Source organism: Homo sapiens, chromosome 12 (genome assembly GCF_000001405.40).
Source record: "Homo sapiens chromosome 12, GRCh38.p14 Primary Assembly".
NCBI lineage: Eukaryota > Metazoa > Chordata > Mammalia > Primates > Hominidae > Homo > Homo sapiens.
The window spans coordinates 95,098,384-95,114,364 of NC_000012.12; the positions used below are offsets into that span (position 1 = coordinate 95,098,384).

The following is a 15,981-nucleotide window of genomic DNA, read 5'->3' on the forward strand; positions in this document are numbered from 1 at the left end:
TCATTCCCTTGTATAAGCCTTTCAGCGGTTTCCTGTGGCTCTTAGGCTAAAGACCAAATCCCACAAGATGGTTCTGCACCATCTAAGTCACCTGTCCCTCCAGGCTTATCCTGGGTCATTCTCTTCCTCATTCTTGAGCTCGTGCCACACTGACCTTCCAATTCTCTGAATATGTCATGCCCCTTCTCACCTAAGGACCTTTGTACACAGTGCTCCTAATGACCAGGAGGCTCTTCCTTTTTCCTCTTTGCCCCTCTGACTCCTACTTATCTTTCCTAAGTCAATATAAACAGCAGGGTTTGTAGGAAAGAGGCTGCCCTCTCTCCCCCATTGCAGTTTAAGGTCCTTTGCTTTACAGCCTCCTAGCCCCTGGTACTTTTTCTGTGCACCATTTAATCACCACAATACTTAATTGTGTTAATATTTGCTAAGTGCGTGTCCTCCTCCATGGAATGTCAGCTCAGTGAAGGAAGGGCCCTTTTAATTTTTTTTTTTTTTTTTTTTGAGACGGAGTCTCGCTCTGTTGCCTAGGTTGGAGTGTAGTGGTGCGATCTCGGCTCACTGTAACTTCTGCCTCCCAAGTTCAAGCAATTCTCCTGCCTCAGCCTCCAGAGTAGCTGGGATTACAGGCGTGTGCCACTATGCCCAGCTAATTTTTATATTTTAATGTAAAATATTAAACGGGGTTTCACCATGTTGGCCAGGCTGGTCTTGAACTCCTGACCTTAAGTGGTCCGCCTGCCTTGGCCTCTGAAAGTGTTGGGATTATAGGCGTGAGCCACTGCACCTGACTTGACCCTTTTAATTTTTAATCCACTGTGTCCCGATGCGCAGCACAATGCCTGGCCCAAGGTAGAGGCTCCATATTCCTTACTGAACGAAGGGATGAACTGCAGGTGGAGGTAACACCTGTGGAAGGCAGATGGCTGTGGAGTTGTCTGGCATGCATGGAGTCACACGCAGATCCGTGCTGATGGAGCATGCAGTGTGTTGGTGGGAAGAGATGGAGAGACTCCTTACCCACTTTAATATGGGATGCAGTACCTGCCTAACTGGTTGGAGGAATCTGGAAGGAGAGCATGGCATACCGATGACATTCAATATGCCTTAGCTCTCTTTCCCTCATGCCAGCTTGATCCTCCCTTGGAAATTTATTTTTCCTTTATCAAGAACTTTTCAGTTCAATGATTTCCCCTGCAGAGCCCACATTCAGCCCATTAGTAATCCTATTGGGTTTTTTTCTGATTCATACCATTGTTCATCACTTTAACCCAAGACACACCATCATCTGCTGGGCACTCACTACCTGGCTGCCCAACTTCTACTGTAGTCTCCTGATGGTCTGTCTTCTACAAAGAAGCCGGTGTGATCTTTCACAAACATAAATTAGATATTATCACTTAGCTGAAAACTCTTAAAAATTCAATGACCTTACTATGGGTGGCCCCTAACTCTTGCCCCTAAACTGTAACTCACATTTAATCTCCCCTGGTACTAGGGGAGTACTAGGCTCTCCCCGGAGTACTAGGCTCTACCTATATTGGAATTCTTGCTGTTTCTTTAACATACTATACCCTTTCCTGCCTCCCTGGTATGTCTTTTGTTCCTGCTGTTCCTTCCATCTGGGATTTGCTTCTGGTCTCTGATGCTCCTCAGAGATAACTTTTCTGATCCCCCCCCCCCCCACCCCATATAAGTTCTTGACCTCATCACTTTCTATCTGCTCAGCCTACTTTATTCTTCTTTATAACATTGAATACTCCAAATTATTTCTATGTGCATAGATATAAATAAACCTGATTATTATGTATCTCCCACTTTAGAATAAAAGCTTATCCTTAAGGACAGGGATTGCACACCCCCAGCTCCTGGACAGGGTAGGTGATGCCCAGTAAACATTTGTTAATGGTTGATAGCAGACAATCGCCTTCCCTCATAGCTCTCCATATGCCAGTCTCCAAACAATGACTTTCTCTCATCACTAAAGTTAGTTTGACTCAGCAATGATTGCTCTCAGTTATCACTGCTTATCACTAAGCCCCAGACTACTAACAAAAGCACAAACAGGACTGCCCAGACCAGCTGGCTGCTTGCTGCCGTGGCTACACTGTCTCGCCCACCATGTCACTACTGCTGCCATCCACAAGGCTCCCAACTCGGAGGCTAATCGCACTGTTGGCTGTATCTGTTCCCACGACTTTCTAGGAGACTCCTGTGGCATTCTTTTTTCCCACCCTTGGGACTCTAAACCAGTGTGCACTATGGAGCTTGGCAGAGCTGCAAAGCTGGCACCAGAATTCACCAAGAGCAATGTGAAGTTGACTGCCCTTGCAACAGACAGTGCTGAGGACCATCTTGCCTGGAGCAAGGATATCAATGCTTACAATAGTGATGAGCGAACAGAAAAATGCCCTTTTCCCAACATTGATGGTAAGGATCAGGACCTTGCCGTCTTGTTGGGCATGCTGGATCCTCCTGAGTTGGAAGAAAAGGGAATGGGTGTCAGAGCTTATGGTGTTTATTTTTGCTCCTGACAAGAAACTGAAGCTGTCTACCCAGCTACCACTGGCAGGAACTTGGATGAGATTCACGGGGTAGTTATCTCTCTCCAGCTGACAGCGGAAGAGAGGTTGCCACCTTGATTGATAAGAAGAATGGAAATAGTTATGTTGCTGGGCATGGTGGCTCACGGCTGTAATCCCAGCACTTTGGGAGGCCAAGGTGAGTGGATCACTTGAGGTCAGGAGTTCAAGACCAGCCTGGCCAACATGGTGAAACCCCATCTCTACTAAAAATACAAAAAAAAAAAAAAAATTAGCCGGGCATGGCGGCGCACCCCTGTAGTCCCAGTGACTCGGAAGGCTAGGGCAGAAGAATTGCTCGAACCCGGGAGGTGGAGGTTGCAGTGAGCCAAGATCGCGTCACTGCACTCCTGGGCAACAGAGCGAGACTCTGTCACAAAAAAGAAAAAAGTCACAGAAATATAAATCTTGATCAGAGCTGTTCATTACACCTGTCTGGTACTGATCTGGAAATCATGAACATCCAGATATTCACCTAACAACCAAGGAAAGAAACATTCACTATAATTTCTTGAATGATTTAATCTTAATAAAATAGATTACTGTTTTTCACCAAGGCTCATTTTTACTTGGGAAATAGAAGTGCAATTAAAACTTGACTTTTCTATAGGCATTTCTGCCTTGGAATTTTGAAAATAACCTCTTGATTTTAAGAACCAAGCTCAAGCACTCACTGGGAACATGATATACATGGTCTTAATGTTCTTTGAACTTTCTTTTTTTTTTTTTTTTTTTTGAGATGGAGCCTCACTCTGTTGCCAGGTTGGAGTGCAGTGGTGCGATCTCGGCTCACTGCAACCTCCACTTCCTGGGTTCAAGCAATTCTCCTGCCTCAGTCTCCCGAGTAGCTGGGACTACAGATAAGCGCCACCACACCCGGCTAATTTTTGTATTTTTAGTAGAGACGGGGTTTCCCCACGTTGGCCAGGATGGTCTCGATCTCCTGATTTTGTGATCCACCCGCCTCGGCCTCCCAAAGTGCTGGGATTACAGGCATGAGCCACTTAGCACCGGCCTTGTTCTCTGAACTTTTGTTCAAACTCCTCTATCCCTCAAAAACGAAAAAAGGGCTGAACACAATCCTGCCTGTAGCACTTTGGGAGGCTGAGTGGGGGTGGATCACCTGAGGTCAGGAGTTCAAGACCAGCCTGGCCAATATGGTGAAAGGTCATCTCTATCTTAAAATTAAAAAAGATGGCCAGACGTGGTGACTCACGCCTGTAATCCCAGCACTTTGGGAGGGTGAGGTGGGTGGATCACTTGAGGTCAGGAGTTTAAGACCAGCCTGGGCAACATGGTGAAACCCTGTCTCTACTAAAAATTAAAAACTTAGCTGGGCATGGTGGCGCATGCCTGTAGTCCCAGCTTCTTGGGAGGCTGAGGCACAAGGATCGCTTGAAGCCGGGAGGCGGGGGCTGCAGTCAGCCGAGATCGTGCCACTGCACTCCAGCCTGGGTGACAGAGCGAGACCCTTTCTCAAAAAAAAAAAAAAAAAAAAAAAACACAACAACAATAAAGGAAAAGAAAAGAAAAAGTCACAATGCTAAGTGATTGAGAGTTTACCTGCACTCTCTAAATATTGGTATCTGGTGGATGCTTCAGGTACCCCCAAGAAATTTGCTTGTTCTGACTGCTAGCTGCGAAGCATTTGACAAACCCTAGACACAGGTATTTGTCTTCTCCTGTCATCCTGTATGTCAGGCAGCAGTAGCCATTGCATTTCAGAGGAGTAGCACACCCCAGGATGACTCTTGTGGTCCTCTGATTTTGGGAAGTCAGACATTTGGTTTGAGTCCTTGACATTCATGGACGTAAGCAAAATTATAAAGGTTGTCAGAAACACCTAGGTTCAAATCACAGCTCCACTGCTTACTACTCGTGTAACCTTAGATGTGTTATTGAACCTCTCTGAGCCTCCATTTTTCTAATCTGGAAGATCAAGATAATATCCACCCCACAAAGTTATCATAGAACTTAAAAGAGAAAATAAATATAAAACGAAACATGAGCACTGTGACTGATGCAGAGTAATAAATGATTCTGGCCACTACTCCACCTGCTCCTAAGATCCTAGTTGATTTCAGTGGTATGGACAATTGGAAACAGACTGCCTGGTTTCAAATCCTGGCTCTGCTAGTATAGCTGAGTGGCTTTTCTCAGCATAGAATGGGTATAATAACGACAACTTGCCTTACAGGTTGCTGTGAAGATGAAACGAAGTACTACACATAAAGTCTTTATGATGGTGCCTGGCATACAGTAAGTGTTACAAAAGCGTTTGCTTCTATTTTTATTAGATCAAAGGTTAGGTCTGAGAAGACAGTGTCTCATTATTTAGATTGTGCAGTGGAGCATGCTATGACTATTGGCATCTCTCCCTTCACCAGTCAAACCTTCCCAAATACCCACTTCCGCCACTCAGTCAGTAACTCAGTAATGTATTTTTATGAGTCATAGAGTTTCAGGTTTCCTCAGCACTTGAATTACATTATGGCAACATATTAAGTCACTGCAGGTTCCGGTCTGGGGCAAGGTGGTATCATAAATAATAATGGATTTCTTTTCCCGCCCTCCCTCCATTCTTTCTGAGATGGAGTCTTGCTCTATCACCCAGGCTGGAGTGCAGTGGAGTGATCTCGGTTCACTGCAACCTCCACCACCCAGGTTCAAGTGATTCTCCTGCCTCAGCCTCCCAAGTAGCTGGGATCATAGGCACATGCCACCATGTCTGGCTAATTTTTTTGTATTTTTAGTAGAGATGGGGTTTCACCATGTTGGCCAGGCTGGTCTCAAACTCCTGACCTCAGGTGATCCACCCGCCTTGGCCTCCCAAAGTGCTTGATTACAGGCGTAAGCTACTGCACCCAGCCCATAACAATGGACTTAAAAGCAAAAGACTTCGATTTGCATCCTGGCTGTGTCAAATATGTATCCGTAAGACAGCAACTCCATTTTTCTGTAATTTAGTTTCCTAATTTTTAGAAGGAGATTACACCTACCTCATAGGTTTGTTAGAACCTTTAAGTGACACCTACAAATTTCCTAATAACCTATAAAGCACTAGTTGTTCTTAAAAACAATTTGAAATAGCCACTTAAAAAATGATCAGCAAAGCACTTTCACCATTGTTATTCTATTCAGAAGAACATTTTAATCTCTGTGCTTCTAGCATACTGTTGCCTCTGCTCTCAGCCACTTCCTTGCATGGTAAATCAAGAGTAAAACTGCACGGTATTGGGAAAGAAGAAAAAGAAGAACAAAAAGTCAGTAGCTAACCTAAGTGCAAAAAGTGTTGGCAATATCTTTCCCTGTTATACTCACAAAAATCTATGTTTATGTATTCTTAAAAATAGGCCGGCACAGTGACTCACACCTGTAATCTCAGCACTTTGGGAAGCTAAGGTGGGAAGATTGCATGAGCTCAGGAGTTCAAGATCAGCCTGGGGAACATATGGAGACCCCATCTCTAAAAAAAAAATTTTTTTTTTTGAGACAGAATCTCTCTCTGTCACCTAGGCTGGAGTGCAGTGGTGGGATCTTCGCTCACTGCAACCTCCGCCTCCTGGGTTCAAGCAATTCTCCTGCCTCAGCCTCCTGAGTAGCTGGGACTACAGGTGCCTGCCACCATACTTGGCTAATTTTTGTATTGTTAGTAGAGATGGGGTTTAATCATGTTCATGTTAGCTAGGCTGGTCTCAAACTCCTGACCTCAAGTGATCTGCCCAGCTCAGCCTCCCGAAGTCCTGGTATTACAGGGGTGAGCTACCACACCTGGCATACAAAAAAATATTTTTAAAGTTAGCCGGGTATGGTAGTGCATGCCTGTGGTCCCAGCTACTCAAGAGGCTGAGGTGGGAGAACTGCTTGGGCCATGGAGGTGGAGGCTGCAGTGAGCCGTGATTGTGCCACTGCATTCCAGCCTGGGTGACAGAGTGAGATGCTGTCTCAAAAAAAACCAAAAACCAAAATTTTCCTGACATTCCCTAGCAAGCAGACTCAGAATGAGAAAAAAAAAAAAAAAAAGAAGAAGAAAAAATTTACCTGGCTGAGAGAATGAAGGAACGTTCTACACTTTCAATCTTTAATTCATTCTGATAGGCTTCTTGGGTAGGTTTTCTGACCTGGAAGAAAGCACAACAATTTGAGCCGACTCATCCTACTGAAAACCATATCAATGAGCTGAAGTTGTCCAATGGCCCTGGCTGCTTACATCCACAACCAATCTTCCTATCCAGCTTTCTCTACTGCTGTTCTCCTTCATCTACTCTATGCTTCAGATGAATTGAAAAGCCCACACACCAGCCCACCTTTCCCACCTCCAGGACTTTGCTCACAGTATGCCCTCCACCTGGAATGCCTTTCCCTTACATCTCAGCATGGCCAAATGTGACCTATACTTTAAGGTCCACTGGCTCTTCCTCCTCTTTCTCCTTCTTTCCTAGCTGCTCTCAAAAGCTACAGGCCAGTCCCCACCATGACCATCAAACACTGCAAGTTCTTTATTTTCTGAATTCCCAAAACTGTAATTGTGCCTTTATAGTGATATTTATTACTGTCTACTTTATAGGTATTTACGTGTAGTGTACTGTCTTCCCAACTAGTTGCTAAGTCCCTGGGGGAGGAAAGACAATAAGAATCATGCTTCAACTTATCTTCATATCTTCCACCAAACCCATTACTGTTTTGTTTATAGTAGTTCTCAATAAATATCCTATGAATACATTAATGCATGAGTGAACAAATGACTACATGAATGAATAATCAAATGCATAAACAGGCAGGGCGCAGTGGCTCACGCCTGTAATCTCAGCACTTTGGGATGCGACGGTGGGTGGATCACTTGAGGTCAGGACTTTGAGACCAGCCTGGCCGACATAGTGAAACCCCGTCTCTGTGAAAAATACAAAAATTAGCTGAGCCTGTAGTCCCATCTACTCAAGAGGCTGAGTCAGGAGAATCTCTCAAACTCGGGAGGCAGAGGTTGCAGTGAGCTGAGATCGCACCACTGCACTCTAGCCTGGGTAACAGAGTGAGACTCTGTCACAAAAAAACAAAACAAAACAAAACAAATGCATAAACAGTAACATATATAGACAGAAAAGTAAAGGATATAAGAAAGATGTTTATCTTAGGGAATTTTCTCTAAAATATATATTTGTTGTTGTTATTATTTTTAATAGAGATGGGGGTTTCACTGTGTTGCCCAGGCTGGTCTCTAACTCTTGAGCTCAAGTTATTATCCTGCCTCAGCCTCCCAAAGTGCTGGGACTACAGGTGTGAGCCACTACGCCCAGCCTTTATTTGGGCTTTTTTTTTTTTTTTTGAGAAGGAGTCTCACTCTGTTGCTCCAGCTGGAGTGTAGTCGCGCGAGCTCAGCTCACTGACACCTCCGCCTCCCAGGTTCAAGCGATTCTCCTGCCTCAGCCTCCTGAGTAGCTGGGATTACAGGTGTGCGCCACCACGCCTGGCTAATTTTTGTTTGTTTTTTTTTTGTATTTTTAGTAGAGATGGAGTTTCACTATGTTGGTCAGGCTGATCTCAAACTCCTGACCTTGTGATCCACCGGCCTCAGCCTCCCAAAGTGCTAGGATTATAGGCATGTGAGCCACCACACTGACCTTATTTGGGTTTAAAAACAAATCACCTGGGTGGGCATCATGTCTCACACCTATGTAACCCCAGCACTTTGGGAGGCCAAGGCAGGCTGATCACCTGAGGTCAGGAGTTCGAGACCAGCCTGCCAACATGGTGAAACCCGTCTCTACCGAAAATACAAAAATTAGCCAGGCGTGGTGGTGGGTGCCTGTAGTCCCAGCTACTCAGGAGGCTGAGGCAGAAGAATCACTTGAACCCAGGAGGTGGAGGTTGCAGTCAGCCAAGATTGTACCACTGCACTCCAGCCTGGGTGACAGAATGAGACCCCGTCTCAAACAAAACAAAACAAAACAAAACAAAACAAAAAACAAAACATCTAACAGATGCACACACCTTCATTCCAGCCAGTGAGAGCATGTTGTTCAGTTTATACATCCCAGACTGCACTGGTGTTGTATACAGCAGGGCATCATTAAACTGAAAGTAGAAACATTTCAGGGGAGAAAGTAAAGAAACACATTACTGCCACAAAGATTTTGACAAGATACAAGATTAAAGGATAAATAATACCTCTTTGCTAATAGCTCTCTGAATAAAATACTTATATTCTGCTATATACACTAGAACTACCCAGAATGTTTATTAGAATATAATTTAAAAGGCACTTTCTGGAAAACGTGCTTTATTTCCAAGTTCTGTAACAGATTTAATGTTTTTTGAATTCTAAATCCCACAAAGGTATTAGTCTGCCTAAACAAATGATTAGAACAATTTTCCAAGTTAGAAATGGAATAAATTCCAAAAAGAAATAATCTTCTGGTTATACATCATAACAGACGTTATTTCCCATACTTGAAATGCAATTAAGTGGTACGGCCAGTTCAAGAAGCTGGTGAGGCTGATATTTGAAGGTGCTAAGCTTATCTACCATGTATAAACGTCTCCTTTCCTTAAGCAACTATCCCTACCTCGGCCACATCAGAACTACACAAGTCCTCTTACCAGGAAAAACATTCGAGGTTGCATCACTTTCCGAGACAGCTTCATCAGAATTCCTTCTTTGAGAAAAACCTGATTCACCCAAACAAACACCCATTTAGTCCTACCATCACAACACAACGACAATATAATTTCCTTTTCAACTTTCTTCCCTGAGAATTTTTTTCATGACAGACTGGGGAGCCACAGTTTCCTTGAGATTTTTTACAGTCATAGTTAATTTTAAACCCTTAAATCATTTAGGAATCGGACAAGCAAGCAGGGTTGGATAATTCCAATATTGGCCCCTGGGATACTGTATGGAGGCACATGTAATTGACTGAGCGTGTACTTGATCCTGAAGCATACCCAACATCCTGACAACCGCATTTTGTAATTTTCCCGAATTAATTCCCTAGGCCACTTTTGTGCTATATGAGGAGGATCAAAATACCAATCTCCCCCCTCCCTTCATAATCCTCTCTTACATTAAAGATGTTAAATGAAATTGTCTTCAAAACTGTGTGAGGTCGCTGGCATCACACAAGAAAACGATCCCATTAAATCAGATACTCTGTGGGGTCCCTTGCCGCTCCCCTAATTGAACTGGACTTACTTCATAAATGGGCTTATTCCTAATTGAATTGTCACAGTGACTTACATCATGAATGTTTTGAACGGATAAAGTGATCAAAATTGAATCAATGAAGAGTAACAAAAACAACCTATTTTTATAAAATGATAAACAGATACAGATGGTACCTAAATGCATCGTATTAAGTTTGCGAAAAGCAATGTAAAATGCTTACCCGACCAGGCTGCACAATTTCATGGTGTCCATTTAAGCTGTACTGAATTTGCATAAGTTTCTGAAAGTTGTCCTACAGAAAGACAATGGAAAGCATATGAAGGCCTGGGCTTTCAGGTTCAAGACCACACCAGCCACTGACAACAAGACACTTACTCCTTGCTTCATGGTGTCATTGGCGTGGTTGGCTACCTCTATAACAACAGCAAGGGCATCTGAAATAGGCAGGAACAAAACGTGCATTTAGTAATTACAATGGAAACAAATAGTTTGCAACATTAAGCAATTCCAGGGGACAAGATAGCTAGTTTATAGCAACCAACCTCTGGAGGAGCTTATTGACTGTGAGTAGGCAGAAATATAAGGTTCAATGAAGGCAAAACCAAACCAAACCAAACAACACCACCACCACCAAAAACCTGGCCAAAACAATATATAGGGAAACAATGAGCCAAAAGAAGACTCTAAAGAGACACTGTAGACCATGTTTACTAACAGTATGAATGTCAGGGTTGTTTTGTGCTGTGATTTGATTATCCTATTCAAGTTTACAAAGATAAGGATGGGATTTCACCTGGAAGATAAGGACCAGCCCAGTATAAACTGTCTTGGGAGAAAAGGATCGTGAGGAAAAAGGATCTTGTTATAGGAAATAAAAACTACAAGAAATGACTAAGATCAGGTCTCAGTCTCTTAGTCTGATTCCAAGAGGCATGAATTAGAAATGGGGGAAATGCCACATGGAAGCATCCCAGATCTTAGGAATTTGCAAGTGTCATTTTGTGAGCTGGGTTATTAGCTTCATGGGCCTATCTGTGTTTTATTCTTTTTATTAACCCTTTGCCTTTAGCAAAGTGTTTTTCCATACTCCAGCCTTGTCATCTTTATAACTAGGTCTAAAGGAAAAAGTCTGCATTTTCTCAGCTTTGGGGCTGCAGTTATTCTCAACCCAAGGCCATAGTGCTCCCTTAGGGACATGTGAACCTGTGTAAAGACAATTTTTGCTTGTCACAATGACCAGGAAGATCCACTGGCCTTTGGTGGGTAGGAGGCAGGGATGCCAAACTCCATGCAATACTCCTTAGAAACCCACACAAAGATTATTCAGAACAATATGACAGTAGCATTCCCACTGAGAAAAACTGGTAGAGTGTTAGAGAGGGAAGCATCTCCTCCTGAGGCTGCTGTGGCAGTGACAGTGGTCATCAAAAAAAGGACTATTAAAAAAAAGAGTGGCTGGGCGCGGTGGCTCACGCCTGTAATCCGAACACTTTGGAAGGCTGAGGTGGGCGGATCATTTGAGCTCAGGAGATCGAGACCAGCCTCAGCAATAAGGTAAAACCTTGTTTCCACAAAAAATCCAAAAATTAGCTGGGTGTCGTGGCTCATGTCTGCAGTCCAGCAATTTGGGGCGCTCAGGTGGGAGGATCATTTGAGCCCAGGAGGTCAAGGCTGCAGTGAGCCCAGATCACACCACTGCATTCCAGCCTAGGTGACAGAATGAGGCCCTGTCTCAACAAAACAAAACGAAACAAAAACAACAACAGTAAATCAATTTCTGAAAAGGGGTTGAGGTGTTTTGGTCCAGTTATTGTAATCTATCAAAGGACTGTCTTCCTGGTACCAGCCGTGGAGGCTTCTGTATTCTTTTTTTTTTTCTTGCTCTGTCACCCAGGTTGGAGTGCAGTGGCGCGATCTTGGCTCACTGCAAGCTCCACCTCCCGGGTTCACACCATTCTCCTGCCTCAGCCTCCCAAGTAGCTGGGACTACAGGCACCTGCCACCACGTCCAGCTAATTTTTTGTATTTTTAGTAGAGACGGGGTTTCACCGTGTTAGCCAGGATGGTCTTGATCTCCTGACCTCGTGATCCGCCCGCCTCAGCCTCCCAAAGTGCTGGGATTACAGGTGTGAGCCACCACACCCGGCCTGTATTCTTTCCACATGTATCATCATCACTATTATTAAAGGAAAGCAGGTTTTTCCTTATATAGAGACCCTGACTATATATCAGAATTTTTTTTTTTTTTTGAGACAGTCTTGCTCTGTCTCCCAGGCTGAAGTGCAGTGGCATGATCTTGGCTTACTCAACCTCCGCCTCCCAGATTCAAGCAATTCTCCTGCCTCAGTCTCCTGCATAGCTGACATTACAGGTGCACACCAGTATGCCCAGCTAATTTTTGTATTTTTAGTAGAGACGGGGTTTCGCCATGTTGGCAGGGCTGGTCTCAAACTCCTGACCTCAGGTGATCCACCCGCCGCAGCCTCCCAAAGTGCTGGGATTACAGGTGTGAGCCACGGTACTCAGCCATGTATCAGAATTTACGGTGCCTGGTACCCTTTTCACAGCAGGTTCAAGAGGTTACCGTGGACACATTTCCTGCTTTCTGGCCTGCTGGAATTCCCGGTGGACAGGGGAGAGATGCCTTAAGATTTAATGGATGACAAAGCTGCTGCTGCTACTTGGTCACCTGGTCTCCCAAGCTCTACCTTCCCTACTCCATGCTGTGATTCTACTTTCCCCACGTCATCCCGTTAAGAGGCCCTGATGCCTCTATTCCTTTAACTCTTCTGCCTACCTTTCAAAGTTATTCTTGCCTCACCTTCCCTCACCCTTGAAGTCTCATCCACACTGCTCACCACTCTTTTTTTCCTGAGACAGAGTCTTGCTCTGTCGCCCAGGCTACAGTGCAGTCGCGGGATCTCGGCTTACTACAACCTCCATCTCCCAGGTTCAAGCGATTCTCATGCCTCAGCTACTGAGTACCTGGTATTACAGGCATGCACCCCCATGCCCCACTAATCTTTGTATTTTTAGTAGCAAAGGGTTTTGCCATGTTGCCCAGGCTGGTCTTGAATTCCTGGCCTCAAGTGACCCACCTGCCTCGGCCTCCCAAATTGCTGGGATTATAGGCATGAGCCACCACGCCCGGCCACTGCTCACCATATGATTGCTGTGCCTCTGGCCATACAGTGGGCCTCACTGTTCACTGGTTTTCTCATCTATGTCTTTGCTGTCACATGTAATTTCCTTTAAATAAGCTCCTTAATCTCTGACCCTGAATTTGTTTTATGTGTAAAATGGAGCTAATAACTCACTTTCATTGAAGGCAGAAGCCCAGGACCCAGGACAGATGTTTTCTTTCTATTCTATAAGTTCCATGTATAATTTGTATCCTCACGAGAGGGGCTGCCGTCGGGAATGCTCATTTTTCCTCTCACCCACTCTCCCACTCATCTCCAGTCCTACTTTTTCCTGCAAAGCTTCCCTGCCTCTTTAACCTTCACACTTTTCTCTGTCATCCAAATAATTCTGTCCTGCTCGGTGCACCCTTACTTTGAAGTCATTTGCTTTGTTCTTTATTTGATGGATATTATAAACTTCTTCATCAACTAGATATGATCACTGAAGACAGGAAACTTGTCAGATCCCCAACCACAAGCTTTTCCTTTAAAAAAAACCGCCTTTAAAAGCATAATGTACACAAACAGAAGATGTTAAGAGAAGTAAAATGATTAAAAGAATATATAAGAATCTCTACAAAAAGGGTTAAAAATGTTCACTTTTTACTCTGCAAATGTAAAGGATATACAAGAATGTGATCAGGCCAGGTGTGGTGGCTCATGCCTGTAATCCCAGCACTTTGGGAGACTGAGGCAGGTGGATCGCTTGAGCTCAGGAGTTCGAGACCAGCCTGGGCAAGATAGTGAAACCCTGTCTCTACAAAAAATATAAAAATTAGCAGGGTGTGATGGTATGTGCCTGTAATCCCAACTACTTGGAGGGCTGAGGCAAGAGAATTACTTGAGCCCAGGAGGTTGAGGCTGCAGTGAGCCGTGTTCATGCCACTGCACTCCAGCCTGGGTGACAAAGTAAGACTCTGTCTCAAAAAATTAAAAAAAAAAAATGTGATCAAAATTCATAAAATTAATGGACTTGCTTAACATGTTTCTGCAGTTAGACCCAGGCGTTGCTGGGCATGGTGGCTCACATCTGTAATCCCAGCACTTTGGGAAGCCAAGGTGGGCAGATCACTTGAGGTCAGGAGTTCGAGACCAGCCTGGCCAATATGGTGAAACCCCATCTCTACTAAAAATACAAAAATCAGCCGGGCATGGTGGTACATGCCTGTAGTCCCAGCTACTTGGGGGGCTGAGGCAGGATAATTGCTTGAACCCAGGAGGCAGAGGTTGCAGTGAGCCGATATCGTGCCACTGCACTCCAGCCTGGGTGACAGAGTGAGACTCTGTCTCAAACAAAAAAAGAACAAGGGGTATACCTGTGACATTTGAAAGAGGTTGTTGGGAATAAACAGAAACACCCAAACAGAATTAATCTGTGTGTATGTGTGTGTATCTGCGAGAGAGGGAGGGAGAGAGATTGTGAGGGAGAGAGACACAGGCACACAGACACAGGAACTCCAATTATCCCACTAGCTATGAGTCCCTCATGTTGTAATGGATTGTTTCCCTTAAGTACTACTAGGGCTGAGGGAAGGCTAATATCCTATTGTTAGACAGTGCCAGAATAATATGCTTTTTTAGACTCATCCCTGCTTTGTAGTTTAGTCACTTCATGGACTCATGATTTTGAAGCTTGAGGACCTTGCAGATCTGGTTCAATCCCTGTTTTTGAAAGACAAAGAAATGGACCTCTAGGGAAACTGAATATGGCACGGGCACAGAGTGACTGAGCACAGGAGGGCAAAGATTCCTGACCTCAGCCACCACGCTGGCTTCACAGTCGCAAGAGGCTGGTTCCCATGCAGGGCTGGCCATGGGTCTCCCCTGCCCATATCATCTCACCTATCCCCAGCACTGCTTTACTACTTAACTGGTTCTATGTTAATCTGCTCAAAATGGAGTTTCCAGGAAGGCCTCAAGTCTTTTTTTTTTTTTTTTTTTGAGAAGGAGTCTCGCTCTGTCGCCCAGGCTGGAGTGCAGTGGCGCTATCTCGGCTCACTGCAACCTCCGCCTTCCGGGTTCAAGCAATTCTCCTGCCTCAGCCTCCCAAGAAGCTGGGATTACAGACGTGCACCATCACACCTGGCTAGTTTTTGTATTTTTTTTAGTAGAGAAGGGGTTTCACCATGTAGGCCAGGCTGGTCTCAAACTCTTGACCTCAGGTGATCTACCCGCCTCGGCCTCCCAAACTGCTGGGATTACAGGTGTGAGCCACCGCACCTGCCCTTCAAGTCGTATGAAGAGAGTTTGTAATGGATTTTGTTATCAATATATTTTTACTTTCTAGCCCTACCTAAATAAACATAATATAAAAACTTCTGCAACCACAGAAGTTATTTACCTTGAGTGTCTCTGTAATCTCCAGCATCTTCTATGAGATTCTTCAAATAATCTAGAAAAGAAGAAAAAAAAGTATTTAAGTACAATAAACCAGTGAGCCCCAAACACATATCTTTCTTTTTCAATACTTCATTAGTCTTGCTGGTTAATATACATGCTAGTCCAACTTGTGCTAACTTTCTAAAAATGTGAAAAAATAAAGCCCTGAGATCAATTTGAAATCAAGACATAGAGTCAGAGCTAGAAAAAGCCTTGGAGGAAACATTGGTTATTTTAGAGATGAGGAATCAGATTACTGAGCAAAGGATCTCACCCAACTCACACAACCTCTAGTTGGCAGAGCCAGCATGAGAATTCAGGTCTCCTAATGCCCAATTCAGCTTTTATCCCAACACATAGGAAGTACTTTAATCTTGAGATCAGACACACGTCTAGTATAAAATTCTAAGGCATTAATCCAATCCCTAAAAGTCTCCTGGATTTGTTAATCTAAGAGTCTAACAATGCTCAGGACACCAAGGGAACTCAATATATGTATTTAAACAGGTGGTTTTCAAATGGGGACAAATTTGCCCCCTAGGGTACATCTGGCAATGTCTGGAGACAGTTGTGGTTGTCATAACTGGGGAAAAGCGGGGGCTACTGGTGGCTAGTGGTTAGAAGTCAGAGATGCAGACTGGACTCGGTGGCTGATGCCTGTAATCCTAGCACTTTG

The 15,981-nt window shown here is 44.3% G+C and overlaps 1 protein-coding gene and 1 pseudogene across 1 annotated transcript in view; one reads left to right on the forward strand and one right to left on the reverse strand.

Moving 5' to 3' along the window:
* FGD6 (FYVE, RhoGEF and PH domain containing 6) overlaps positions 1-15,981 on the reverse strand; it is a 140,719-nt gene that overhangs the window by 21,635 nt on the left and 103,103 nt on the right. Inside the window, exons 9-14 of the mRNA NM_018351.4 lie at positions 15,268-15,318; positions 10,120-10,178; positions 9,965-10,036; positions 9,180-9,248; positions 8,571-8,654; positions 6,624-6,703 (exon numbers count right to left, since the gene is read on the reverse strand). Of these exons, the coding sequence (NP_060821.3) occupies positions 6,624-6,703; positions 8,571-8,654; positions 9,180-9,248; positions 9,965-10,036; positions 10,120-10,178; positions 15,268-15,318 (415 nt within the window). The remainder of the gene's footprint in view (positions 1-6,623; positions 6,704-8,570; positions 8,655-9,179; positions 9,249-9,964; positions 10,037-10,119; positions 10,179-15,267; positions 15,319-15,981) is intronic.
* LOC100287148 (peroxiredoxin 6 pseudogene) lies at positions 2,143-2,665 on the forward strand (annotated as a pseudogene).